The sequence below is a fragment of the Homo sapiens genome, chromosome 8 (genome assembly GCF_000001405.40).
Source record: "Homo sapiens chromosome 8, GRCh38.p14 Primary Assembly".
NCBI classification, from domain to species: domain Eukaryota; kingdom Metazoa; phylum Chordata; class Mammalia; order Primates; family Hominidae; genus Homo; species Homo sapiens.
Window position 1 is genome coordinate 70,489,176 of NC_000008.11, and position 26,873 is coordinate 70,516,048.

The 26,873-nt window shown below is 41.7% G+C and overlaps 1 pseudogene; it reads right to left on the reverse strand.

The window, feature by feature from the left end:
* RPL13P11 (ribosomal protein L13 pseudogene 11) lies at positions 17,044-17,688 on the reverse strand (annotated as a pseudogene).

Consider the following 26,873-nt stretch of genomic DNA (forward strand, 5'->3'; position numbering starts at 1 on the left):
GGTTTCCAGTTTCATCCATGTCCCTACAAAGGACATGAACTCTTCATTTTTTCTGGCTGCATAGTATTCCATGGTGCATATGTGTCACATTTTCTTAATCCAGTCTATCGTTGTTGGACATTTGGGTTGGTTCCAAGACTTTGCTATTGTGAATAGTGCCGCAATAAACATACGTGTGCATGTGTCTTTATAGCAGCATGATTTATAATCCTTTGGGTATATACCCAGTAATGAGATGGCTGGGTCAAATGGCATTTCTAGTTCTAGATCCCTGAGGAATCGCCACACTGACTTCCACAATGGTTGAACTAGTTTACAGTCCCAGCAACAGTGTAAAAGTGTTCCTATTTCTCCACATCCTCTCCAGCACCTGTTGTTTCCTGACTTTTTAATGATTGCCATTCTAACTGGTGTGAGATGGTATCTCATTGTGGTTTTGATTTGCATTTCTCTGATGGCCAGTGATGGTGAGCATTTTTTCATGTGTTTTTTGGCTGCATAAATGTCTTTTGAGAAGTGTCTGTTCATATCCTTCACTCACTTGTTGATGGGGTTGTTTGTTTTTTTCTTGTAAATTTGTTTGAGTTCCTTGTAGATTCTGGATATTAGCCCTTCGTCAGATGAGTAGGTTGCAGAAATTTTCTCCCATTTTGTAGGTTGCCTGTTCACTCTGATGGTAGTTTCTTTTGCTGTGCAGAAGCTCTTTAGTTTAATTAGATCCCATTTGTCCATTTTGGCTTTTGTTGCCATTGCTTTTGGTGTTTTAGACATGAAGTCCTTGCCCATGTCTATGTCCTGAATGGTATTGCCTAGGTTTTCTTCTAGGGTTTTTATGTTTTTACGTGTAATATGTAAGTCTTTAATCCATATTGAATTAATTTTTGTATAAGGTATAAGGAAGGGATACAGTTTCAGCTTTCTACATACGGCTAGCCAGTTTTCCCAGCACCATTTATTAAATAGGGAATCCTTTCCCCATTGCTTGTTTTTGTCAGGTTTGTCAAAGATCAGATAGTTGTAGATATGTGGCATTATTTCTGAGGGCTCTGTTTTATTCCATTGATCTATATCTCTGTTTTGGTACCAGTACCATGCTGTTTTGGTTACTGTAGCCTTGTAGTATAGTTTGAAGTCAGGTAGCATGATGCCTCCAGCTTTGTTCTTTTGGCTTAAGATTGACTTGGCAATGCGGTTTTTTTTTTTTTTTTTTTTTTTTGAGACGGACTCTCACTCTGTCGCCCAGGCTGGAGTGCAGTGGCACGATCTTGGCTCACTGCAAGCTTCTTCTCCTGGGTTCACACCATTCTCCTGCCTCAGCCTCCTGAGTAGCTGGGACTACAGGTGCCCGCCACCACACCCAGCTAATTTTTTCTGAATCTTTAGTAGAGACAGGGTTTCACCGTGTTAGCCAGGATGGCCTCGATCTCCTGACCTCGTGATCTGCCCATCTTGGGCTCCCAAAGTGCTGGGATTACAGGCATGAGCCACCACGCCCGGCTTTTTTTTTTTTTTGTGTGTGTGTGTGTGTGTGTGTGTGTGTGTGTGAGAGATGGAATTTTGCTCTTGTTGCCCATACTAGAGTGCAATGGTGTGATCTCAGCTCATTACAGCCTCCGCCTCCTGGGTTCAAGCAATTCTGCCTCACCCTCCCGAGTAGCTGGGATTACAGGCATCCATCACCATGCTCAGCTAATTTTTTATATTTTTAGTAGAGACGGGGTTTCACCATATTGGCCAGGCTGGTCTCGAACTTCTGACCTCATGTGATCCACCCACCTTGGCCTCCCAAAGTGTTGAGATTATAGTCGTGAGCCACCATGCCTGGCCTGTACCATGATTTATTAAACTATGTCCTTATTGATAAAAATGTAGGTGTTTCAAGCATTTTGTTACTAAAAATGCTGTAATGAATATCACTATTCATTTGGTTTTTATGAATCTTAACATAAATTTTTGGAAACACTTGTAGGTCAAAGGACATTTGGAGTTAACTTTTTTTACCTTTTTTTTTTGTGTGACAGAGTCTCACTCTGTCACCCAGGCTGCAGTACAGTGGAATGATCTTGGCTCACTGCAATCTCTGCTTCCCAGGTTCAAGTGATTCTCCTGCCTCAGCCTCCCAAGTAGCTGGGATTACAGGCGTGTACCACTATGCCTGGCTAATTTTTGTATTTTTAGTAGAGACAGGGTTTCACTATGTTGGCCAGGCTGGTCTCAAACTCCTGACCTCAAGTGATCTGCCCACCTCGGCCTCCCAAAGTTATGGGATTATAGGTGTGAGCCACTGTGGTTGGCTTGTATTTAACTTAAGTGTATAAAATTTTTGAATGTTAACAAATTGTTCCTCACAGAGACTGTGCTAATGTATTTTCTCACACTGTAAGAGAGTGATTGTTTCCCCATATCTGTGCTAATATTATGGACTACAAAGTTTTCTGATGGGTTAAAAATGACGCATTGTTTTAAAATTTTGTGTTTCTTTGATTACAACTGAATATGAGTATATTGTTGTGTTTACACAAATATGTGTTTCTCTGTGAACAATTGTTTCAAGTCTTGCCAAGTCTTTTCTTCTTTCTTTCCTTCTTCCTTTCTCCTTCCCTGATCTTCTCCTTCCTTTCTTGCTTTTTTCATTGCCTTTCTGTCTCTGTTTTTGTCTGTCCTTCCTAAGCACTCTTGGAAATTAGCTCCTTTTCTATCATACTTGCTAATATTTTTTTCTGAGTTTGTCTTTGCTTTTCAACTTTGTTTATGGTAATTTTTCATGTAGAAATGTTTAATTTACATAGCCAAATGTATTTTTTTCCTTATGTCTTTTGTCCCATACTTAGAAAGGCCTTGGTCGGGCACAGTGGCTCATACCTGTAATCCTAGCACTTTGGGAGGATCGCTTGAGCCAAGGAGGTCAAGGCTGCAGTGTGCTGTGATTGTGCCACCGCACACCAGTCTAGGTGACCGAGCAAGACTCCGTCTCAAGAAAAAAGAAAAAAAAGAAAGGCCTCTCTTAATTTAAGACTATAAACAAAAAAAAAAAATCTTCCATGTTTTCTTCTAGTACTTTTATGGTTTTACATTTATCTTTAAATCTTTGAGCTATCTGGATTTTATTGTTTAATTAGGAGTGCAGTAGGAATTGAAACTTGATTTTTTTTCCCATATAGCTTGCCAAGTGTCTCAACACCATTTATTTTCCTTCTGAATTGGAACTAGCCTTTATCTTAGACAAAATATTAATATTCAAGACTATTTCTGAAGTCTCTATGTTCTTTTTTATTTATCTCTATCTCTTCATACACCAGTACCGAATTGTTCATAATGGCTTAATATATGCCATGTGGCTTTTTTTTTTTTTTTTTTTTTTTGAGACAGAGTCTCTCTGTGTCTCCCAGGCTAGAATGCAGGCATGATCTCAGCTCTCTGCACCTCTGCCTCCTGGGTTCAAGCAATTCTCATGCCCCAGTCTCCTGAGTAGCTGGGATTACCGGCATGCACCACCACATCGGACTAATTTTTGTATTTTTAGGGGAGATGGGTTTTCACCATGTTGGCTAGGCTGGTGTCAAACTCTTAGCCTCAAGTGATCTGCCCACCTTGGCCTCCCAAAGTGCTGAGATTACAGGTGTGAACCACCACACTCAACTGGCTATGTTTATTAGTATTTTATTTTTACCTATTTGTCAATGTCTGTCTTCCTAACTGTATGTGATTTTATTCCTAATCCTTCAGGTATAATAATAAAGGTATAAGTCATTAGGAGACATTCTTTTTTATAGTAAGAAAATCTTGACATTCATACTACCTTTGGAAATCTCAAGCTCAAGCGATTGAAATGCCCAGCTGATTTTTGTTATCTTTCAAACTCTGGACCTTACCTTAACTCTTAACGCCCAGTTTATCCTTGCTTATCATCGCATATCTTACCTCAAAAACTTGAAACAAAAATCAGTTTACTGACTACAATGGGGATGAGAGGAGCTTTGACAGGAGGGTCCAGGTAGTGGGTATTGTAAGACTAAAGCCACATGGGATATGCCACCATGGGGGCTGCAGCTGTGAAGCGCTGGGAGCCAAGTGGGCATGGGATTGGCTCAGGACCCCACGGTTTGGCTTATCAATTAAGAGGAGCACAGGAACAAGACTATCAGGTAAGGCTAAGGATTGTTTGATTGTATCAGAAGAAAAACCTCAGACCTGACAAACAGGATTCTGTACCCAATTCAAACTCAACAGAGCAAGGAGTACCAGGCCCTCAGGCAAGTCCCAGACTTAAGTTAATTAAAAAATCCAAGGCACTCTCAAGGAAAGGAAAGGCTAGATATCTTTCAAGAAGGCTGCTATAAAACCACAGCAGTATGTCACGAATCTTCCCTTAGTCTTTCCAAAAAAGACCTACTCAGGAACATTTTCCACTGGTCTCATGAGTTAGAGAGGTCCCTGTAGATCAGGGTACTGTGTGGAGCCCACAGGAAGTGTGGGATATGAGGATAATCGTGGGGGTTTTGGAGTAAGTCGATGCCCCTTTTCAATCACACCTATGTCCATATGAGACAGCTTCTGACTTGCTATTGTGCTCACAAGTTGCTCAGGGCAGAAGGTGATCTGCCAGGGGTCACAGTTGAGTGTGCTAACATCAAATGGATTCCAGATTTGCCACTTCTGAGCTTATTACCATGGGCGGGTACTTGATTCCTCTAAGCATCAGTGGTTTTTTTTTGTCCATCGGTCTTACAATACTCCATAGGTTTACCTCCTAGGATTGTTGTGAAAATTAAATGAACAAAGACATGTTATAAGCTTTAAACCTGAACTGGCACATAGTAAGCTCTGTAAATGTTAAGAGTTGTTATTGTTATTATCATTATTACCGCCACCATCTTGTTTGAAGAATCAGATTCCATGGGTTACAAGTGAAAAATAGCTTTCTTTCCCCTACTCAGTAGGGCTAGCCTTTTTCTGTCCCTGGGATGAAATCTAAGGTAGTCCTAGGACTACTCCAGTTACTTTACTATCTCTATCACATGTAACTGCAAAACAGTCCCATTTCAGTAATTGAAATGCCTAGTCCTATGTAAAAATCTCAATTTGAGCTTCATTTTCTCTTTCCCTGACGTCAGCACTGATTGATTACATAAATCTGCAAAGAGAAAAGGGCTGGGTTCTGGTTGTCTTCTTCTCTTTCAAACCTATGTTTTCCCTAATCCCAAACCCCCATTCTCCCACCCCAACCCCCAACCAGAGCAGCCGACCCCTCTGGGATTTTTGTTTCATTTTTTTAGAGACTGTGTCTCTTTCCCCAGGCTGGAGAGCAGCAGCGTGATCATAGCTTACTGCAGCCTTGACCTCCTGGGCTGAAGCGATCCTCACACCTCAGCCTCCCGAGTAGCTAGGATTACAGCAAGTGACACTGCTCCCGGCTATTATTTATTTATTTTTAGAGATGAGGTCTTGCTATGTTGCCCAATCTGGTCTCAAACTCTTGGCCTCAAGTGATCTTCTTTCCTTAGCCTCCAGAGTAGGTGAGACTACAGGCACAAGCCACCATGCTCCATCAGTGATTTTTCTTGACTGACGCTGTGGCTGGAGTTCTCTGGGGCTGACAGATGATCAAGTTGACTCTTTCTTACATGCGATGTTTCTGTTGGCTCTTTGGAGACCCCTACTTGGGAACATACTAGCAGCACCCAACACAGGAATGGCTGTCTTGGGGCTGGTCACTTACAAGCTTCAGTGACCTCCCACCCCCTATTTTCTGATTAAGGTCCCATGTCACTGACGTCAGGTCCCTTGTAAAATGACTCCCAGGCTTGCCCTATCCCATGTGAGTATGCTGCCCAGGGAAATCGCGTACTTCTGCCCTGCCATCTCTGGCAGGTCAACTTGCTCCTATGAAAGCAGCTGTCCTTGCTCTAGCCACAGGTTGGAAGTCCTAGTTCTTTAGATTTTGCAGAATCAAACGGCAGGCACAAGATACTAGACCCTTGAGTCCCCGAACTCCAGGAGACACAGGGTGAGCTTTCTAAGTCTCTCCTTATTGCCCTCTCACTTGATTTGTAGTCAGGGAACTACTCTCCTCTTTTCATTTACTATGCCCTTTCCCCAAAATACTCCCCTTCCTGGGTATTTTAACCTCAGGCTCAAAGCTGGTTCTTAATCACCTCCTTTGCAAGTCTTGCAGAAGTCAGTTAGCATCACACTTTGGAATGTGGAAATTCTAGCTAGTATTATTTTCTTCCCAGCTGAAACTTAGACAGAAAGAGTCCCTTTTAAACACCCTGTTATATTGTGAGAGTCATCATTATAGGGTGATTATCGGATTTAAATGAAAAAATGCGTGCAGAATACTTAGCATAGTGTCAAGCACATTGTAAGTGCTCAATAAGCATTAGCTATTTATTTAACAAACAATTTATATGGTATTAACTAGGTAATCTAAGTGCTTTATAGGCAATGACTCATTTAATCCTCAAAACAACTCCATCATTCTCATTTTTATAAACAAGGAAACCGAGGCACAGAGAGGTTGAATATCTTGTCCAATATTACACAGCTAGCAAGTGATGAAGCTGGGATTTGAATCCATTCTGGCTCCAGAGGTCATACTCTTAACCATTAGGCTATTTCTTATTTATTAATTACTACTATTATTTTTTGAGGCAATGTCTCACTCTGTTGCTCAGTCTAGAGTGCAGCAATGCCATCCTAGCTCACTGCAGCCTCCAACTCCTAGGTTCAAGTGATCCTCCTACCTCAGCCTCCCAAGTAGCTGGGACTACAGGTGTGCACCACTATGCCTGGCTAAATTTTTTATTTTTTGTAGAGACAGGATGTCACTATGTTACCCAGGCTGGTCTTAAACTCCTGGTCTCAAGTGATCTTCCTACCTTGGCCTCCAAAAGTGCTGGGGTTACAAGTGTGAGTCACCTCGCCCAGCCCCCATTTCAAAGAGTAGTAATAGCTATTATTATCATTATTATAATTATTATTACTTAGTATGTATGGGAACAGATTGCGTGAGCCTAAAAGCCAGGTAAATTACCAAGAGAAGCTGTCATATCCCAAGTTTGACTTCGTTAGTGAAACTGCTATCCTTCCCCATACGAAAGCCAATGGATAGTTGGATTTTCCCAATGAAGCATTGAAGTGAATAAATACACATGGATTAGGTTTAGCGATGGCTGTGTTCAGTATTATAGCACATTCCAGAAATTGGTTGAAGCATTGTGGTCCTGAACAATGTTGTGGATATTCCTGAACAACAGCAAGAATGAGAATTTTTTCTTCTCACTTCCCTTAAACTAATAGGAGGGTTGGCCCCAGAGTCAGGATGACTTGGGTTTGGCCATATGAGCAGGAAAAAGCAAGTTTGTTTACAAAGAAGAGACATATAGATTCTGCCAATTAGTTAATTATAGCAGAAATAGGAGATCAATCACCTTGGTGGTGTAGCACAGCAGTGAAGAACAAGGGACATCTGCCATCAGATCATTAGACATATTCCCTTGTCCCAGGCAACATACCACTCAATGGGGCTGATTCCTCTCCTCTTGACTTCCCACGTATCTTCATAATAAACTGATAAGTAAAACTAATATAACTTAAGCATGCTTCTATGCCTTGCAATCTAAAGAACTTACTATAATCACATCATCCTCAAATAATGATAATTTAATCTTTTTAATGTCTAATAGTTGTGCTTCTTGGTTCTGTTTCTTGTCTTATTGCATTAGCCAGGAATTCCAGAATATTATTAAATAATAGTGGTAATAGCAAATAGCAAGCTCCTTTCCCTCTTCCTGATACTAATGGTAACACCTCTATAGAATTTTTGGTATGTCCTATCCCTTTAAGTATTTGATTAATGCGAACTCTAGAAAGATAGACATACAAAGTGTTGTATATAGTTTTAGGAGATTCAAGAACCATGGACAGACACATGAATAGTTTTTGTGAATTCCATTATTAAAGAATGAAGTTGGCAGCCTGGCGCAGTGGCTCATGCCTGTAATCCCAGCACTTTGGGAGGCCAAAATGGGCAGATCACATGAACTCAGGAGTTTGAGACTAGCCTGGACAACATGGCAAGACCTCGTCTCTACAAAAAATACAAAAATTAGCCAGGCATAGTGGCACATGCCTGTAGTCCCAGCTACATGAAGAGCTAAGGCCAGAGGACTGCTTGGGCCTGGGAGGTCGAGGCTGCAGTGAGCCGAGACTGCGGCATTGCATTCCAGCCTGGACTACAGAGTGAGATCCTGTCTCAAAAAAAAAAAAAAAAAAAAAAATGAGGTTGGCGATTGGTTTAAGGCAAATTTTAAGACCATATAAATAAAAATTCCTTATAGTACTAGTTTAGGAATAAGAAAAAATATGTGAATTTTATCAATTGTCTTTTTATCATAAACTAAGATAATTACAGATTCTTTCTCTTTAGTCTTACTGATACCAATTTTACATATATGTGTGTATATATGTGCATATATATACACACACATATACACACACACACACACATATATATATATATACACACACACACACATATATATATCTCACTCTGTCACTCAGGCTGGAGTGTGGTGGCGTGATCTCAGCTTACTGCAACCTCTGCCTCCTAGGCTCAAGTGATTCTCCCACCTGAATCTCCTGAGTAGCTGTGACTACGGGTGCATGCCACAACACCGGGTTAATTTTTTGTATTTTTGGTAGAGATGGGGTTTCGTCATTTTGCCCAGGCTGGTCTCAAACTCCTGAACTCAAGTGATCTGCCCACCTCGGCCTCCCAAAGGGCTGGGATTATAGGTGTGAGCCACTGCAACTGGCCAATACCAAATTATGTTAATGCACTTAGCAATATCAAACCTTCCTCGCATTTCCAGAATAAATTCTCCTTTGATTTGATATATGATCCTTTTTTTTTTTTTTTTTTTTTTGAGACAAGGTCTTGATCTGTGGCACAATCATTGCTCACTGCAACCTCAACCTCCCTGGCTCAAGCAATTCTTCCACCTCAGCCTTCCAAGTAGCTGCTACCATGGGAACCTGCCACCATGCTCAGTTGTTTTTTTATTTTTTATTTATTGTTGTAGAGATGAGGTCTCACTATGTTGCCTATGTTGGTCTTGAACTCCTGGGCTAAAGTGATCCTCCCACCTCAGTTTCCCAAAGAGCTGGGATTACAGGTGTGAGCCACCATGCCTGGCCTGATTCTTTTAATAGTCTGTTAGATTTAATTTGCTAGTGTTATAATTTGGAATTTGAATTCATCAGAAGGATTATAATGCATGTTAGGAAGATTTTTGAATAAAAATAATTATAAGAAAAATTATTTGCTGGGTACAATGGCTCACGCCTGTAATACCAGCACTTTGGGAGGTTGAGGCAGGAGGATCGCTTGAGACCAGGAGTTCAAGACCAGCCTGGAAAACATAGCGGACCCTGTGTCTATAAGAAATTAAAAAATTAGCCAGGCATGGTGGCCCACCTGTAGTCCCAGTATCTCAGGAGGTTGAGGTGGAAGGATCACTTGAGCTCAGGAGTTCAAGATTATAAAAGCTTCTCTTTTCTAAGCATTCTGGTAAGAACCAGAGAATGAGAACTTCAGAATATCACAGAGATGATAGGAGAAGCTCACCAAACCCACTCATCTTGCTGATTAGGAAGAAAGTTGCTCTGAGACATTGTGACTTATGCAAGATTGCACGACTTCATAGAGGCAGGCATTGGTTAATATAAGCTGCTTGTTGAGGCTCGAAAAGAAAAGAAGGGGAAAGAGTTTTGTCTTATTTCCAATGGAACATTACCTTCATTCTATGGCAGAGCGAGAAGAATGGCTGTTTGTGCAACTGTGAAAGTTTCATAAAGAAATGACGCAAGTATTCTAATAAATTAAGACATTATTGTCGGCCAGGCACCGTAGCTCACGCCTGTAATCCCAGCATTTTGGGAGGCCGAGGCGGATGTTTCACCTGAGGGTGGGAGTTTGAGATCACCCTGACCAACATGGAGAAACCCCACCTCTACTAAAAATACAAAATTAGCAAGGTGTGGTGGCACATGCCTGTAATCCCAGCTACTCGGGAGGCTGAGGCAGGAGAATCACTTGAACCTGGGAGGCAGAAGTTGTGGTGAGCCAGAGATCATGCCATTGCACTCCAGCCTGGGCAACAAAAACGAAACTCCATCTCAAAAACAAAAACCAAAACCATATTGTCATCTTCAAGGGATGAAAACCATTATTGGGCTGAATTTCCCCATATCTTTTGGTTCCAAGTGCCTCACCCTCTCTGTCTATGTAGAACGGAAACTTGCAGAGTTTCAGCTCCTTGGACAGTTCTCCCCAGCACACACCAGAGAGGCCTTCCTGCCAAAAATGGGCTAAATGCATTACAAATGGAGATGAAAGAAACACAGAACAAAGGAAAGAGGCTTTGAGGATATATATTTCAGAAAGTTGCCAGCTTCTAAAACAATCTGGAGCTAGCAAGATGTGTTAGATTGGTGCAAAAGTAATTGTGGTTTTGCCATTACTTCTGCACCAATCTATATAGGACCCTGGTAGAGAAGGGGCTTCTCCTGCTTGCTGTTGGTACAGGTTCCTGCTGTTTGTCTTTTAATGTCTCTAACAGGGTCCTAAGGGTCCTGATTGACTCTGTGCTGACACTATCTACCCAACTGTCCCCTCCCTTTAGCCTCATCAGCACTCAGCTTGAGCCCTGCAGAGCAACCCAGCATAATGCCTGATGCTCAGCCCCGTACCTGACTTCACACGTGGCAAAGGTCTGTCTTCCAAGGACTGCAACAATAGGACTGAAACATCTGCTCCCTTTGGACAAGTCAGTGAGAAATTCAGCCAAACTGGTTGTTTGGTGTCACATAGCAAAACAATTGGCTAGATGATGGATTTCTTTGCTCCCAACTCTATGTTGACACTGCCTCAGATTCTACTCTGGTGGTGCATTTTAATGAAGCCTTGCTAGAAAGAGCAACTTTATTTTTTTTAACCATTTAGGGGGCTGTTACATTTACTACTTATATGAATCCCCAAACACCCTGTGCAGCAGATAGAGCAGCTAACATTACTGTAATTTAATAGATGAAACTGAAGCCCAGAGGACTTGATTGGTTGCTCTACGTCTCCTAGCTTCTTAGTGGTGGAGCTGGAGCTAGAACTCCCAGGTGTCCTGACGTCACCTGTCGATCTCTCCCACAATACAGCAGTGCCTGCTTCATTAGAATCTTTTCTTACATATTCTTTCTAGATAGAAAACTGTATATATTCTGATTTTAAAAGTATAAATACTTCCAAGTCTGTGTGAATACATGCATTCAATAAATGAATGTTAAGCAAGTTGTAAATACATTTTGATGAAGAAATTCATTTACCTATAGATTTGGAGGATCAATTAAGAGAATTGAAATCCATTTTTAAATAATTTAATGGGTTTATGGAAAGACTCATATATTAAAGCAAAACCTAATCATTCATGAATTTACAACTCTATTATTTAAACGTTTCATTGTGGACATTTTCAAACACATACAGGAGTAGAGGAAAGAATATAATAAACCCATCATCTCACTTCAACAATTCTCAAAATATGGCCAATCTTCTTTTATCAGTATCCCCTATTCCCCCTACTCCTTCCCTGGATTATTTTAAAGTAAATCCCAGACATCATTTTATCATTTCATCCATTAACATTTCAATAAGTATCTTTATTTATTTATTTTTTGAGACAGGGTCTTGCTCTGTTACCCAGGCTGGAGTGCAGTGATGTGATCTCGGTTCACTACAGCCTTGACCTCCCAGGCTCAGATGAGCATCCCACTTCAGCCTACCGAGTAGTTGGGCCTAGACTCATGCCACCACATCCAGCTAATTTTTTTTTAAATATATTTTCTGTAGAGACAGGGTTTCATCATGTTGCCCAGGCATGTCTCGAACTCCTGGGCTCAAGTGATCTGCTTGACCTTCCAAGTGCTGGAATCACAGGCATGAGCAACCAGGCCCAGCATCAATATGTATCTTTAAAATATAAGAAGACTTTTGTTACACCTTTAAAAAGTTAACAGTAATTTTGTTGTAAAATTGGTATATGATGTGGTTTGGCTCTGTGTTGCTGCCTGAATCTCACCTTGAATTGTAATAATCCCCACATGTCAACAGCAGGACCAGGTGGAGCTAATTGAATCATGGCGGGGTGGGGGCTTCCCCTATGCTGTTCTTGTGATAGTGAGTTAATTCTCACGAGATGTGATGGTTTTATAAGGGGCTTCCTGCTTTGCTCGGCACTCATTCTCTCTGCTGCCACCCTGTGAAGAGGTGCATTCTGCCATGATTATAACTTTCCTGAGGCCTCCCCAGCCATGTGGAAGTGTGAGTCAATTAAATCGCTTTGCTTTATAAATTACCCAGTCTTGGGTATTTCTTCACAGAAGTGTGGGAATGGGCTAATACAGTGAATTGGTAACACAGACAGTGGGGTCTGCTTTAAGTATACCCGAAAATGTGGAAGGGACTTTGGAACTGGGTAACGGGCAGAGGCTGGAACATTTTGGAGGGCGCAGAAGAAGACAGTAAAATGTGGGAAAGCTTGGAACTTCCTAGAGACTTCTTATATGGCTTTGACCAAAATGCTGATAGTGATATGGACAATAAAGTCCAGGCTGAGATGGTCTCAGATGGACATGAGGAACTTGTTGGGAACTGAAATAAAGGTGGTTCTTGCTGTGCTTTAGCAAAGAGACTAGCAGCATTTTGCCCCTCCCCTAGAGATCTGTGGAACTTTGAACTTGAGAGAGATGATTTAGGATATCTAGCAGAAAAAGATTTCTAAGCAGCAAAGCATTCAAGAGGAAGCAGAGCATAAAAGTTGGGAAAATTTTCAGCCTGACTATGTGATAGAAAAAAAATTCCCATTTTCAGGGGAGAAATTCAAGCCAGCTGCAGACATTTGTATAAGTAACAAGGAGCCGATGTTAATCACAAAGACAATGGGGAAAATGTCTCCAGGGCATGTCAGATACCTTCATGGTGGCCACTCCCATCACAGGCCTGAGGCCTAAGAGGGAAAAATGGGTTTCTGGCCTGCTCTGTGCAGCCTCAGGACATGGTACCCTGCATCCCAGCCACTCTAGTCATAGCTAAAAGGGGCCAAGATACAGCTCAGACCATTGCTTCAGAAGTGCAAGCCCTAAGCCTTGGCAGCTTCCACATGGCGTTGGTCCTGCAGGTCTGCAGAAGACAAGAATTGAGGTTTGGGAACCTCCTCCTAGATTTCAGAGGATGTATGGAAATGCCTGGATGTCCAGGCAGAAGTTTGCTGCAGGGGTGTAGCGCTCATGGAGAACCTCTGCTAGGGCAGTGCAGAAGAAAAATGTGGGGTTGGAGCCCCCCGACACAGAGTCCCCACTGGAGCACTGCCTAGTGGAGCTATGAGAACAGGGCCACTGTCCTCCAGACCCCAGAATGTTAGCTCAGCTGACAGCTTGCACCGTGTGACTGGAAAAGTTGCAGATATTCGATGCCAGCCTATGAAAGCAGCCAGGAGGGAGGCTGTATTCTGTAAAGCCACAGGGGTGGAGCTGCCCAAGACTGTGGGAACCCACCTCTTGCATCAGCATGACCTGGTGAAACAGGATAGTTCTCTGTCCCCCTCACAGGACTTGCAACAGGGGTGCAGCTTGTTTGCTCAGCCACTGCATGCTCAAACACCTTATAGGAGGGGGATCATGCAGACAGGCAGGTGCAGGAGCCAGGGCAGGCGCTTTGGGGCTCTGGCCCCATGGTAGCATCTAGGGTTGTGTTACAATTAATGCTTTTCTAGCAGTTGTCATCTGCAGACAGCTAAGTGTTAAACCAGCTCAGTGGAGAGTCAGGGTGACAGCCTTTTATGCCCTGCCCTCTTGGTACCCAGGTCCTTGTCCAGTGTCCAGGAAGAATCAGGTCATATGGACTTGAAGAATGGTGAATACAGGAATTTTATTGAGTGACTGAGGTGGTTTTCAGTGGGATGGATGGGAAGCTGGAAGAGTGATGGAGTGGGAAGTTGATCCTCCCCTGAAGTTTGGCCATCCCACAGCCGATCTCCTCTCTGACCATCCCCAGACGAACTCCTCTTGACGTTCAGATGCTCCTCTTCTCTCCTTCTCTGCTGCTCTTCTGCTCATGGAGCCTGGGGTTTGGGATTTATATGGGTACAGGATAGGTGGGGGCATAGTGGGCCAAAAGGCAACATTGGGCATAAAACAGGAATGCCTGTTCCCATTTAGAGCCATGGGTTTCTAGGCTTGAGGATGGGGCCTTTGCCAGGGAACTGCCCTCTTCTACGCAGTATTTCCCTGCCTCCTGTCCATATCACTGGATATGAGACATGGAGCCAAAGGAGATCATCTTGGAACTTTAAGGTTTCGTAACTGCTCTATTGGATTTTGGACTTGCATGGGGCCTGTAGCCCCTGTGTTTTGGCCAGTTTTTCCCATTTTGAATATTTATCCAATGCCTGTACCCCTATTGTATCCAGGAACTAAATAACTTGCTTTCGATTTTACAGGCTTATAGGCAGAAGGGACTTGCCTTGTCTCAGATAAGACTTTGGACTTGGACTTTTGGGTTAATGCTGGAATGAGCTAAGACTTTGGGGGACTATTGGAAAGGCTTGATTGGTTTTGAAATGTGAGGATATGAGATTTGGGAGGGGCCAGGGTGGAACGATATGGTTTGGCTCTGTGTCATTGAATCTCACCTTGAATTGTAATAATCCCCATATGTCAAGTGTAAGACCAGGGGGAGATAATTAAATCATGACTTGGGGGAGGTCCCCTATGCTGTTCTCATGATAGTGAGTTCTCATGAGATGTGACGGTTTTATAAGGGGCTTCCCGCCTTGCTGGGCACTCATTCTCTCTCCTGCTGCCCTGTGAAGAGGTGCCTTCTGCCATGATGGTAAGTTTCCTGAGGCCTCCCCAGCCATGTGGAACTGTGAGTCAATTAAACCAGTTTTCTTTATAAGTTACCCAGTCTTGGGTAGTTTTTTTCATAATGGTGTGAGAATAAACTAATACAGTATATAACCTGAATTTCTTAGCATGTTTATACCACATTTAATATATATCAATATATTAACTTTTTGCACAAGTTTTGGTCTCTGAGAAGACAATGAAATGCCTACTCTTTTGATTGCACTGATTTTAGGATGTTGGATGAGTCCAATTTGAAAAATACTTATTCATAATACCATCCTGGTGTTCAAAATTTCAAAATGTTATGTTAAAGTGAGTTGTAGGTCTCCTTTTTTCTCCCTCTTTTGAGTCAGGGTCTCACTCTGTTGCCCAGGCTGGAGCACAGTGGCATGATCTTGGCTCACTCCAACCTCTGTGGGATCAAGTGATCCTTCTGCCTGAGCCTCCTAAGTAGCTGCGCACAGGCACATACCACCATGCCCAGCTAATTTTTATGTTTTTCATAGAGACGGGGTTTCACCATGTTGCCCAGGCTGGTCTCAAACTCCTGAGTTCAAGCGATCCTCCCACCTTGGCTTTCCAAAGTGCTGAGATTACACTGTGTCCTCATTGATGAGTGCTTAATGGACAATAATATTCTTTATGTCAGTTGGATGACACAAAGGGGAAAATGAGACTTAGCTAATTTCTATTTGGCCTAAAATGTGGTGGTTTTAGTTCTTATATCTTAGAGATGTTTGAAGTCATAGATTAGTTCCTGATAAGGTGAGTGTCCACTTTAAAGAATGTGAGCTTCAACTAGTCGTCTTCTAGTTACCATAAGCCTCTGGATAAGGAAGGGCTGGGAGGGGAGAAAGGTGCCTAATTGTATCACAGATCCTAGTGTCAATGAAAAACAGCTCTAAACTTTTGCCTCAGATCACTAGCAATCTTTGAAAGTCAAGAATCTTTTATTTCTCTCTTGAGAAATTCCAACCCCTGGCTAAAAGAGTTTTGCTTCTAGCTATCTATGCTTATAAGGAGGAAGCAAGTTGTTTATTTACCAGATCTGAAGTTGTCCCAAGGCAATTCACTCATATGATTTTCAGAAACCTTGGATACAGAAATTTTTAAAACATAAAGTGGAAATGTACAGACCAATTCTTTTTTGAGTATGTGCTGTCTAAGGTACAGAAATGAGCTTGTTCAGAATTCGCTTTCTAAGGATCCAGGAAGCTCTAACATGAGAGAATGTAAAAATCAAGGTTCCAGTTTAACTTGCAATTCATGATTGCTCTTCTGCTTTTGCCTTGATTATTGAAAGGAATAAAGTTTTTGAATATTGTCCTAAGGACTTTGGTTTAGAAGAGTATTAATCAGCTTTTCCTTTCCACCATTTGTGTTAAGCTTCAACAGTAGAGTACATTTGGATGCTACCCTGAACTTTTCAACTTTTCTTTCTTTCTCTTCCCTTCTTCTTTCTTTTTCTTTTTCCCTCCCTCCCTCCCTTCCCCTTCCTCCCTCTTTATTTTTCTCTTTCTTTTCTCCTTCCCTCCTTCCTTCTTTCTTTTCTTTTCTTTCTTTTCTTCTTTTCTTTTCTTCTTCTCTTTTCTTTTCTTCATTTTAGAGACAGGGTCTCACTCTGTCACCCAGGCTCAAGTGCAGTGGTGTAGTCCTGGGCTCATGCCACCCTCCCATGTCATCCTCCTTAGTTGCAAGGACTACAGGTGCACACCACCGTGCTCAGATAATTTTTAATTATTTATTTTATTTTGCCTTTTCTGTTTTGAGACAGAGTCTCACTCTGTTGGCCAGGCTAGAGTGTAGTTACGTGATCTTGGCTCACTGCAACCTCCACCTCCCAGGTTCAAGCGATTCTCCTGCCTCAGCCTCCCGAGTAGCTTGGATTACAAGCATGTACCACCATGCCTGGCTAATTTTTGTATTTTTAGTAGAGATGGGGTTTTGCCATGTTGGCCAGGCTGGTTTTGAACTCCTGACCTCAAGTGATCGCCCTCCCAAAGTGCTGGGATTACAGGCGTGAGCCTCCACACTTGGCTCAATTTTTCATTTTTTCTTTTATTTTTTTCCTTTTTATTTTTTACTGTTGATTTATTACAAGTCCCCAGGGCTTTATCTTTATTTTTTTTCAATATCCTGTTCTTCAGCTTCCTTGGTTCTTTTTACCCATATGCAGAAGAGCTGGGCATTTGTGCAGGCCACGTGGAGACTAGCAAAGGCCTTGGAGTTCTTCCCTTCCTCAGTGATGCCTCGGGCTTTCTCCTTCTTATAGACATTCTGGACAGGCATAAGTAGTCCTGTCAGCTACTGGGGCAATTTCAGTTCTTCAGCAGAACTGTCTCCCTTCTTGGGGGCCAAGGGCTTCCTGGGGAAGAGGATGAGTTTGGAGTGGCACTCCATCAGCACTGCACATTGGCTTGCAGGGACTCGGTGGACTTGTTTTGCCTTCTCGGATCCACAGAGATGTCAGTGTTCTGTGCCACCTTCTTGTGAATACCAACCACCCTTAACTCCTCCATGCTGAAGCCCTGGCCAGCGTGTACTTTGGTGTGATACCTCACCATGCAGCACCTTACTATGGGCTGGATGGGTCCAGACGTGGTTGAACCATGTAGCCACACACCACTGCCAGTGCTTGTTGAAGTGGGACTTGAAGATCATGCCTTTCCTGCTGGGCTCCATGGCTGACTATGGCCCTCCTGTGCAAGAAAACAGCTGAGTGGAAAGGGCTCAACTTTTCTTAAATGACAAAGAAGAAAGAGAATTTAACTGCAGTTTGCTGTTTTTAGTAGCCTGGTATCCTGGCAATTTACACCAGCTATTTGAGGTTGAACCTTACTACTTACCAGTCAGAGTTGTTGATTAAGAGGAAAGAAAATAAAGTAACACATAGAAAGTTCAATAAATACATGAGACTTAGGAGCATTAGAAATTTGAAGATAGGCACTAACTGGGAATAAATTTGAAAAGGGATAATTACTTATAATACTCAGAGCAAGAAAGAGTAGAAATGACAATACGTTTTCCCAGTAATATCAACAATCAACACTATTTTTTATCATAGTAGTAAAAAAAAAGTTTAGTTTTTTTTTTAGACAGAGTCTTGCTCTGTTGCCCAGGCTGGAGTGCAGTGGCGCAATCTTGGCTCACTGCAACCTCCACCTCCTGGGTTCAAATGATTCTCTTGCCTCAGCCTCCTGAGTAGGTGGGATTACAGGCACGTGCCACCACACCTGGCTAATTTTTGCATTTTTGGTAGAGACGGGGTTTCACCATGTTGGCCAGGCTGATCTTGAACTCCTCCTGACCTCAAGTGATCCACGCTCCTTGGCCTCCCAAAGTGCTGAGATTACAGGCATGAGCCACCATGCCCAGCCGAAAGTTCTGATCTTATGCTGTTAATTTTTTTTTATTATACTTTAAGTTTTAGGGTACATGTGCACAACGTGCAGGCTAGTTACATATGTATACATGTGCCATGTTGGTGTGCTGCACCCATTAACTTGTCATTTAACATTAGGTATATCTCCTAATGCTATCCCTCCCCCCGCCCCCCACCCCACAATAGGCCCCGGTGTGTGATGTTCCCCTTCCTGTGTCCATGTGTTCTCATTGTTCAATTCCCACCTATGAGTGAGAACATGCAGTGTTTGGTTTTTTGTTCTTGCAATAGCTTGCTGAGAATGATGGTTTCCAGCTTCATCCATGTCCCTATAAAGGACGTGAACTCATCATTTTTTATGGCTGCATAGTATTCCATGGCGTATATGTGCCACATTTTCTTAATCCAGTCTATCATTGTTGGACATTTGGGTTGGTTCCAAATCTTTGCTATTGTGAATAGTGCCGCAATAAATATACGTGTGCATGTGTCTTTATAGCAGCATGATTTATAATCCTTTGGGTATGTACCCAGCAATGGGATGGCTGGGTCAAATGGTATTTCTAATTCTAGATCCCTGAGGAATCGCCACACTGACTTCCACAATGGCTGAACTAGTTTACAGTCCCAGCAACAGTGTAAAAGTGTTCCTATTTCTCCACATCCTCTCCAGCACCTGTTGTTTCCTGACTTTTTAATGATCGCCATTCTAACTGGTGTAAGATGGTATCTCATTGTGGTTTTGATTTGCATTTCTCTGATGGCCAGGGATGGTGAGCATTTTTTCATGTGTCTTTTGGCTGCATGAATGTCTTCTTTATTTTTTAAAAAAATTCAAACCCACAGTAGCTTTTTATCTACCCCAGTGCTGACAATGAGCCCAGAAATGATCAACATTTCAGGAAGGTCCTGCAAGAATTGCTTGAAGAACAATTGATTCTATTCATATTCTTTTCTTTATTCCTGTTCATAAACTTACATGGACCTATGGAGCAACAAGTGAATTTTTGTTTTTTGAGACAGGGTCTCACTCTGTCACCTAGGCTGGAGTGTAGTGGCATGATCATGGCTCACTGCAGCCTTGACTTCCCGGGCTCCAGCGATCCTCTCACGTCAGCCTCCTGAATAGCTGGGACCACAGGTGTGCACCACCACACCTGGCTAATTTTTGTATTTTTTGTGGAGATGAGGTTTCACCGTGTTGCCCAGACTGGTCTCAAACTTCTAAGCTCCCATGATTCACCTGCCTCAGCCTCCCACAGTGTTGGGATTATAAGCATGAGCCACTGTAGCCAGGCCCTATTTGTGAAATATTGATGGGCATTTGAGTTGTTTTGAGTTTTGAGCTATCTTGAATAGTCCTGTTATAAACACTTGTACATGACTTTTGGTGTACATATAAGCATCTCTTGGCTATACATAAAAAATAGAGGGTTTGGGTAAGTTCAACTTCAGTAGATATTATCAAACACTTTTCCAACATTGTTACAAATGTGCGCTTCCACCAACAGTGTCTGAGAGTCCAAATTGCTTTGCATTCTTGCCTAAATTTGATATTGTGGTCTTATTATTAATGTTAGCTATTCTGGTGGGGTACAGTGATTCAAATTTGCATTTTGGTTTTAATTGGCATTGTCCTGGTGATTAATAAAGTCGAGCAGCCTGTCATATGATTGATGATTTTTTTTGAGTGTCCTCTTTTATGAAATGCCAATTTAAGTCTTTTGCCCATTTTTCTATTGGGTTGTCTGCTTCTTTTCTATTAATTTGTAGAAATGTTTCATATACGATAGTTATGATTCATTTGTTATATATAGGTATTACAAATATCTTTTTCTACTTGGTAGCTTTCTTTTTCACTTTTTTTTGGCATTGTAGCCTTTTCACTCTTGTTTTGTTTCTTGTTTTGTCTCTTAGTCTTGGAACTATTAATGCCTTTTGATGAACACTGGTTTTTATTTCAATGTAGTTCAATTTATCAATCTTTACTTTTATGGTTAATGCTTCTTATGTCCTGTTTAAGAAATCACTGCCTGCCTCAAACTCACAAGAATATTTTTTATGTCTTCTTTCTAGATGTGTTATTGTTTTATATTTAGGATTAAAATTCATCTAGTGTTAATTTTGTGTGTGGTGAGAGATAAGTTTCAAATTTTATTTTCATACAATATGGATATTGGTGAACCCAGCTGCATTTGAAAAGACCATTCTTTCCCTCATGGCACTATAGTGGTTCTATTTCTGAACTATATATTCTGTTCCATTGGTCTATTTGTCCATCTCTGTATTAATAATATGTCTCAATTATATTAGTTTTATAATAAGTCCTTCAACTTTGCTCTTCTTCACCATTGTCTTGACTATTCTTGGTCCACTGAACTTCCACATAAATTTTAGAATCAGCTAATCAGTTTCCCTCCCGTCCCCTCCCCTCCCCTGCCCTCCCCTCCCCTCCCTTCCTCCTTCCCTCCCTCCCTCCCTCCCTTCCTTCGTTCCTTCCTTTTTTTGAAACAGAATCTTGCTCTGTCACCTAGGCTGGAGTGCAGTAGTGCAATCGTGACTTACTACACCCTTAACCTCTGAGGTTCAAGTGATCCTTCCACCTCAGCCTCCCAAGTAGCTGGGACTATTGGTGCCCACCAACAGACCTGGCTAATTTTTTTTTTGTATTTTTTGTAGATACAGGGTTTCACCATGTTGCCCAGGCTAGTCTCAAACTCCTGGGCTCAAGCGATCCTCCTGCCTGGCCTCTCAAAGTGTGGGGATTACAGGTGTGAATATCTGTGCCCTGCTAATCAGTTTTTTATTTTTTAAAAGAACTTGCTGAGATGTGTATTGGATTTATGGTAAATCTCTAGACTAATTTGGGAAGATTGACATTTTTACAATATCACATCATCTAATCTACAAACATTGCATTTTGAATTCCACCACAGTTTTCTTTCAATACAGTTTTGTAGTTTTCTTTTTCTTTTTCTTTTTCTTTTTTTAGGCAGTCTCACTCTGTCACCTAGGCTGGAGTACAGCGGTGAGATCATGGCTCACTGTAGCCTTGACTTCCCAGGCACAAACGATTCTCTCACCTCAGCCTACCAAGTAGCTGGCACTACAGGTTTATGCCACCATGCCTGGCTAACTTTATTTGGTTTGGGAACCTCTGCCTAGATATCAGAACTCAGCACTTTGGGAGGTCGAGGTGGGAGGATCCCTTGATCCCAGGAGACCCAAGATCCCTTGATCCCAGGACTTATTATAAAGACCAGCCTGGGTAACATGGCGAAACCTCGTCTCTCTCTCTCTTTTTTTTAATTTTAAAAATTAACAACAACAACGAAAACCCCATATTCTTCTATTCCTAGCTTGCTAAGCTTTTTTATCATGGGTTGGTATAGAGGGAAACTTTTATTCTATGTCCACCTTTCTTAGTCTGGGCTATGCCTAACTACTCTGCAGTTGAGATTAAATATTATTTTTAAGATCAAAAAACCCTTAAATTTTTATTTATTTATTTATTTTTTATTATTATACTTTAAGTTTTAGGGTACATGTGCACAACATGCAGATTTGTTACATATGTATACATGTGCCATGTTGGTGTGCTGCACCCATTAACTTGTCATTTAACATTAGGTATATCTCCTAATTCTATCCCTCCCCCCTCCCCCCACCCCACCACAGGCCCCGGTGTGTGACGTTCCCCTTCCGGTGTCTATGTGTTCTCCTTGTTCAATTCCTACCTATGAGTGAGAACATGCAGTGTTTGGAAAAACCCTTAAATTTTTATAATGCATTCTCATGAGAGGTTTGAAGTATTCTATTATCTCCATTCAGTTTACTTATCTGTAAAATGATGATTATTGTATTCACCACAGTGCTGTTGGGAGATGAAATAACTTATTGACACGGTTTGGCTGTGTTCCCATTGAAATCTCAACTTGAATTATATCTCCCAGAATTCCCATGTGTTGTGGGAGGAACCTAGATGGAGGTGATTGAACCATGGGGGCTGGTCTTTCCCATGCCATTCTCGTGATAGTACATAAGTCTCACCAGATCTTATGGGTTTATCAGGCATTTCCGCTTTTGCTTCTTCCTCATTTTCTCTTGCTGCCACCATGTAAGAAATGCCTTTCGCCTTCCGCCATGATTCTGAGGCCTCCTCAGCCATGTGGAACTGTAAGTCCAATTAAACCTCTTTTTGTTCCCAGTTTCAAGTATTCGTAATCAGCAGTGTGAAAACCAACTAATACAGTAAATTGGTACCAATAGAGTGGGGCATTGCTGAAAAGATACCCAAAAATGTGGAAGCGACTTTGGAACTGGGTAACAGGCAGAAGTTGTAAGAGTTTGGAGGGCTCAGAAGAAGACAGGAAAATGTGGGGAAGTTTGGAACTTCCTAGATATTTGTTGATTGGCTTTGACCAAAATGCTGATAGTGACATGGACAATAAGGTCCAGGCAGAGGTGGTCTCAGAGGGAAATGAGGAACTTGTTGGGAACTGGAGCAAAGTGACTCTTGTTATGTTTTAGCAAAGAGACTGGAGGCATTTTGCCCTTGCCCTAGAAATTTGTAGAAATTTGAACTTGAGACAGATGATTTAGGGTATCTGGCAGAAGAAATTTCTAAGCAGCAAAGTATTCAAGAGGTGACTTGGGTTATTTTAAAGGCCTTCAGTTTTATAAGGGAAGCAGAGCATAAACGTTTGGAAAATTTGCAGCCTGACTATGCAATAGAAAACAAAAACCCATTTTCTGGGGAGAAATTCAAGCCGGTTACAGAAATGTGCATAAGTAGCAAGAAGCCTAACGTTAATCCCCAAGACCATGGGGAAAATGTCTCCAGGCCATGTCAGAGACCTTCATGGCAGCCCCTCCCATCACAGGCCTGGAGGCCCAGGAGGAAAAAGTGGTCTCGTGGGCTGGGCTCAGGGTCCCCGTGCTATGTGCAGCCTAGGGACTTGGCGCCCTGTGTCCCAGCCACTCCAGCCATGGCTGAAAGGGGCCAATGTACAGTTCAGGCTGTGGCTTCAGAGGGTAGAAGCCCCAAGCCTTGGCAGCTTCCATGTAGTGTTGAGCCTGCATGTGCACAGAAGTCAAGAATTGAGGTTTGGGAACCTCTGCCTAGATTTCAGAAGATGTACGGAAATGCCCAGATGCCCAGGCAAAAGTTTTCTGCAGGGGTGGGGCCCTCATGGAGAACCTCTGCTAGGGCAGTGCAGAAGGGAAATGTGGGGTCAGAGCCTCCACACAGAGTCCCTACTGAGGCACTGCCTAGTGGAACTGTGAGACAAGGGCCACCGTCCTCCAGACCCCAGAATGGTAGATCTACTGACAGCTTGCACCATGTGCCTGGAAAAGCTGCAGACACTCAATGCCAGCCCACAAAAGCGGCCAGGAGGGAGGCTGTACCCTGCAAAGCCACAGGGGTGGAGCTGCCCAAGACCATGGGAACCCACCTCTTGCATCAGTGTGACCTGGATATGAGACCTAGAGTCAAAGGAGATTATTTTGGAGTTTTAAGTTTGACTGCCCTGCTGGATTTTGGACTTCCATGGCACCTGTAACCCCTTTGCTTTGGCAAATTTCTCCCATTTGGAATGGCTGTATTTACCCAATACCTGTACTCCCATTGTATCTAGGAAGTAACTAGCTTGTTTTTGATTTTACAGGCTCATAGGTGGAAGGGACTGGCCTTGTCTCAGGTGAGACTTTGGACTGTGGACTTTTGGGTTAATGCTGAAATTAGTTAAGGATTTGGGGGACTGTTGGGAAGGCATGATTGGTTTTGAAATGTTAGGACATGAGATTTGGAGGGGCCAGGGGTAGGATGATATGGTTTGGCTATGTCCCCATTTAAATTTCAACTTGAATTGTATCTCCCAGAATTCCCACGTGCTGTGGGAGGGACCCCGGGGAGATAATTGAATCATGGGGGCCAGTCTTTCCCATGCTAGTCTCACGATAGTGAATAAGTCTCATGAGATCTGATAGGTTTATCAGGGGTTTCTGCTTTTGCTTCTTCCTCATTTTCTCTTGCTGCTGCCATGTAAGAAGTGCCTTTTGCCCTCCACCATGATTCTGAGGCTTCCCCAGCCATGTGGAACTGTAAGTCCAATTAAACCTCTCTTTGTTCCCTGTTTCCAGTATATCTTTATCAGCAGCATGAAAACGAACTAATACACTTATATAAAATGTGTAAACAGTGCCTGACCACTAGTAAGCATTTTATTTTTTTTGTTTTTGTAGAGATGGGGTCTCCCTATGTTGCTTGCCCAGGCTGGTCTTGAAATGTACTCAAGCAATCCTCATGCCTCCGCCTCTCAGTGTGCTGAGATTACAGGCATCAGCCACCATGCCCGGACATAAGCATTTTATAAACATCAGTTATTATTAATATTTTTTTCAGGTGAAGAAAACAAAGTAGGAGAAGAGTGAGTGACAACTGGTGGTGGACTTCTTCCTGGAAACCCAGTCCCTTGACTCTCACTCTGCCTCTTTCCCTTTCATCATTTTGCCTAAAGAGAGGATTTAGTAGCCTCTTAACCATTCCATATCAGTAAGTCTCTTCATCATAGTAAAAGTTTTTAAAAGATTAGAAAATAATGCTTACAAACTGTACTGACTGGAAAGGCCCTTCTGTAGATAATTCTATGCAGTCAGTGTATTTAGTGTACGTGCTTCCTAAGCATGTCTCAGAATAACAAAATTATTTGAGAAAGAGTGTTTTTTTTCTTTTTTTGGTCAAGTTCTTTCTTATATGGATTCTTCTTACAAGTTAAGACAACCTCTTCTCTCATGGTTGCCATGCAAAGAATCTTGTCTTCAATCAGCTCATTAAGGTAACTTTGTAAAGATAGTGTTTTTTAGAAGGGCACTTTGCCAGCTCCCTCAAACATAACTTTGCAAATGGACAGCAAGAAAAACATGGTAAATCACTTCCATATGGCTCAAGGCAATGAGAAACTTTTTTGATTAACAACATATTCACTACAATAAAATAACTTCCAAATCGGCTAGAGAGACACTAACTTATCTGCTACATCTATTCTCTTCTTTGATTTTTTTCATTGTTTTGACTCTCCAAAAACCCTCTTAAGCTCCCAACTGGTTCATTTTTAAACAATGGGTTCTTCCAAGACCATCACCTGTTCCTATTTGTCAGTTCTATTAAGCAAATAGCTACTCTTAAACTTATTTTAGAACCAGCTGCTTTACAACATATGCTTCAAACATTCAAGAGATGTTTTTTACAGACTCATCAGTTGATACAATCATTGACATGTCATCTGCATATGCAAGTACTAGTTTAAACATCTAAACTATTTTATTTCCTTTCACAGCTGTCTAAATAGTAAACCAAGCAGTTTAGTTCACACCATAAATTCCCATCAAAGGGCTTTTAATTAATATGTAAAGGACAAAATGGGCACCTAGGACTTAATGTTTTCTTTATCTGGATCTCTTCATTCTTCCCAGGCAGAAACTAATCATTTCATTTTCGCACTCTTGACAAATTGGAAAAAATATGACACAGTCTATACAACTTTAAACAACATATCCTCACCCGTCAAGAGTCTCTCCCTCCCCTCTTTTCAAAGGAAATAGAATAAAAAGATGATTGCCTTTTAGTCTGTGTGTTTTACAGTTTCTCTTGGTATAACGAAACCATCTGCCACCCCTGTCCCTTAACGCCTGGAATGAATCAAATCATCTTCCTTGCAAACATTGTTAATCTCACAGTAATCCCTACTAATCACTTTGTAATCAGCACTCAAAGGGGCTAAAGGTCCTTGATTCTTAATCATGATATTTTAATCATCATTCTTGTGAGATGGCATTTAGTAATCCCTGAATCTCGTTTATTTCTTTTCAACTTCCTAATTATTTTTTAGGACAGAGAACAAGAGCTCTCTAAATAGGAGAAACCAGATCTCTCTGGCCAAAACTGGTCTGGGAGAATAAGACTGTGCCTGGGTAGTTTCTGATGTCTAACTCTTACTTTCCATTTTAGATACTGAAGATAGCTTATTTCTGTTTTGTTTTACTTCCTTATTCTTTTCCTTAATCTCTTTTTCCTCTACTGTACTTTTTATTTAGCAAATTTTTGGATGAGTAGCAATTTCTTTTCCCCTCTGCATCCTTAAAAGGTTTGGTTTCTGGTTTGTTAATTTCCTTTTTCATTTTTTACCAAGTTGAGGAAATTCCCCTCTATTCTTAGTTTGCTGAGAGTCTTTAATCATAAATGGATGTTAGGTTTGGTCAAATGCTTTTTCTGCATTATTAATATAATCATATGATTTTTCTTCTTTAGCCTGCTAATGTGATGAATTGCCTTTATTGATTTTTCATCCTTTTGTATTCTTTAGGTACAATATCCTCACTCTTCTTTATAAATTTATAACCTTTTTCTTCATCAATTTTTTTTTCCTGAAGGGAATGAAAGAGACTTCTTACACATTTTAGTGGCTTGCTGTCTTGTTGAATTACGAGTTTTCCTTTCTCCTCATTCTTTCCTTCTTCTCCTTCACCA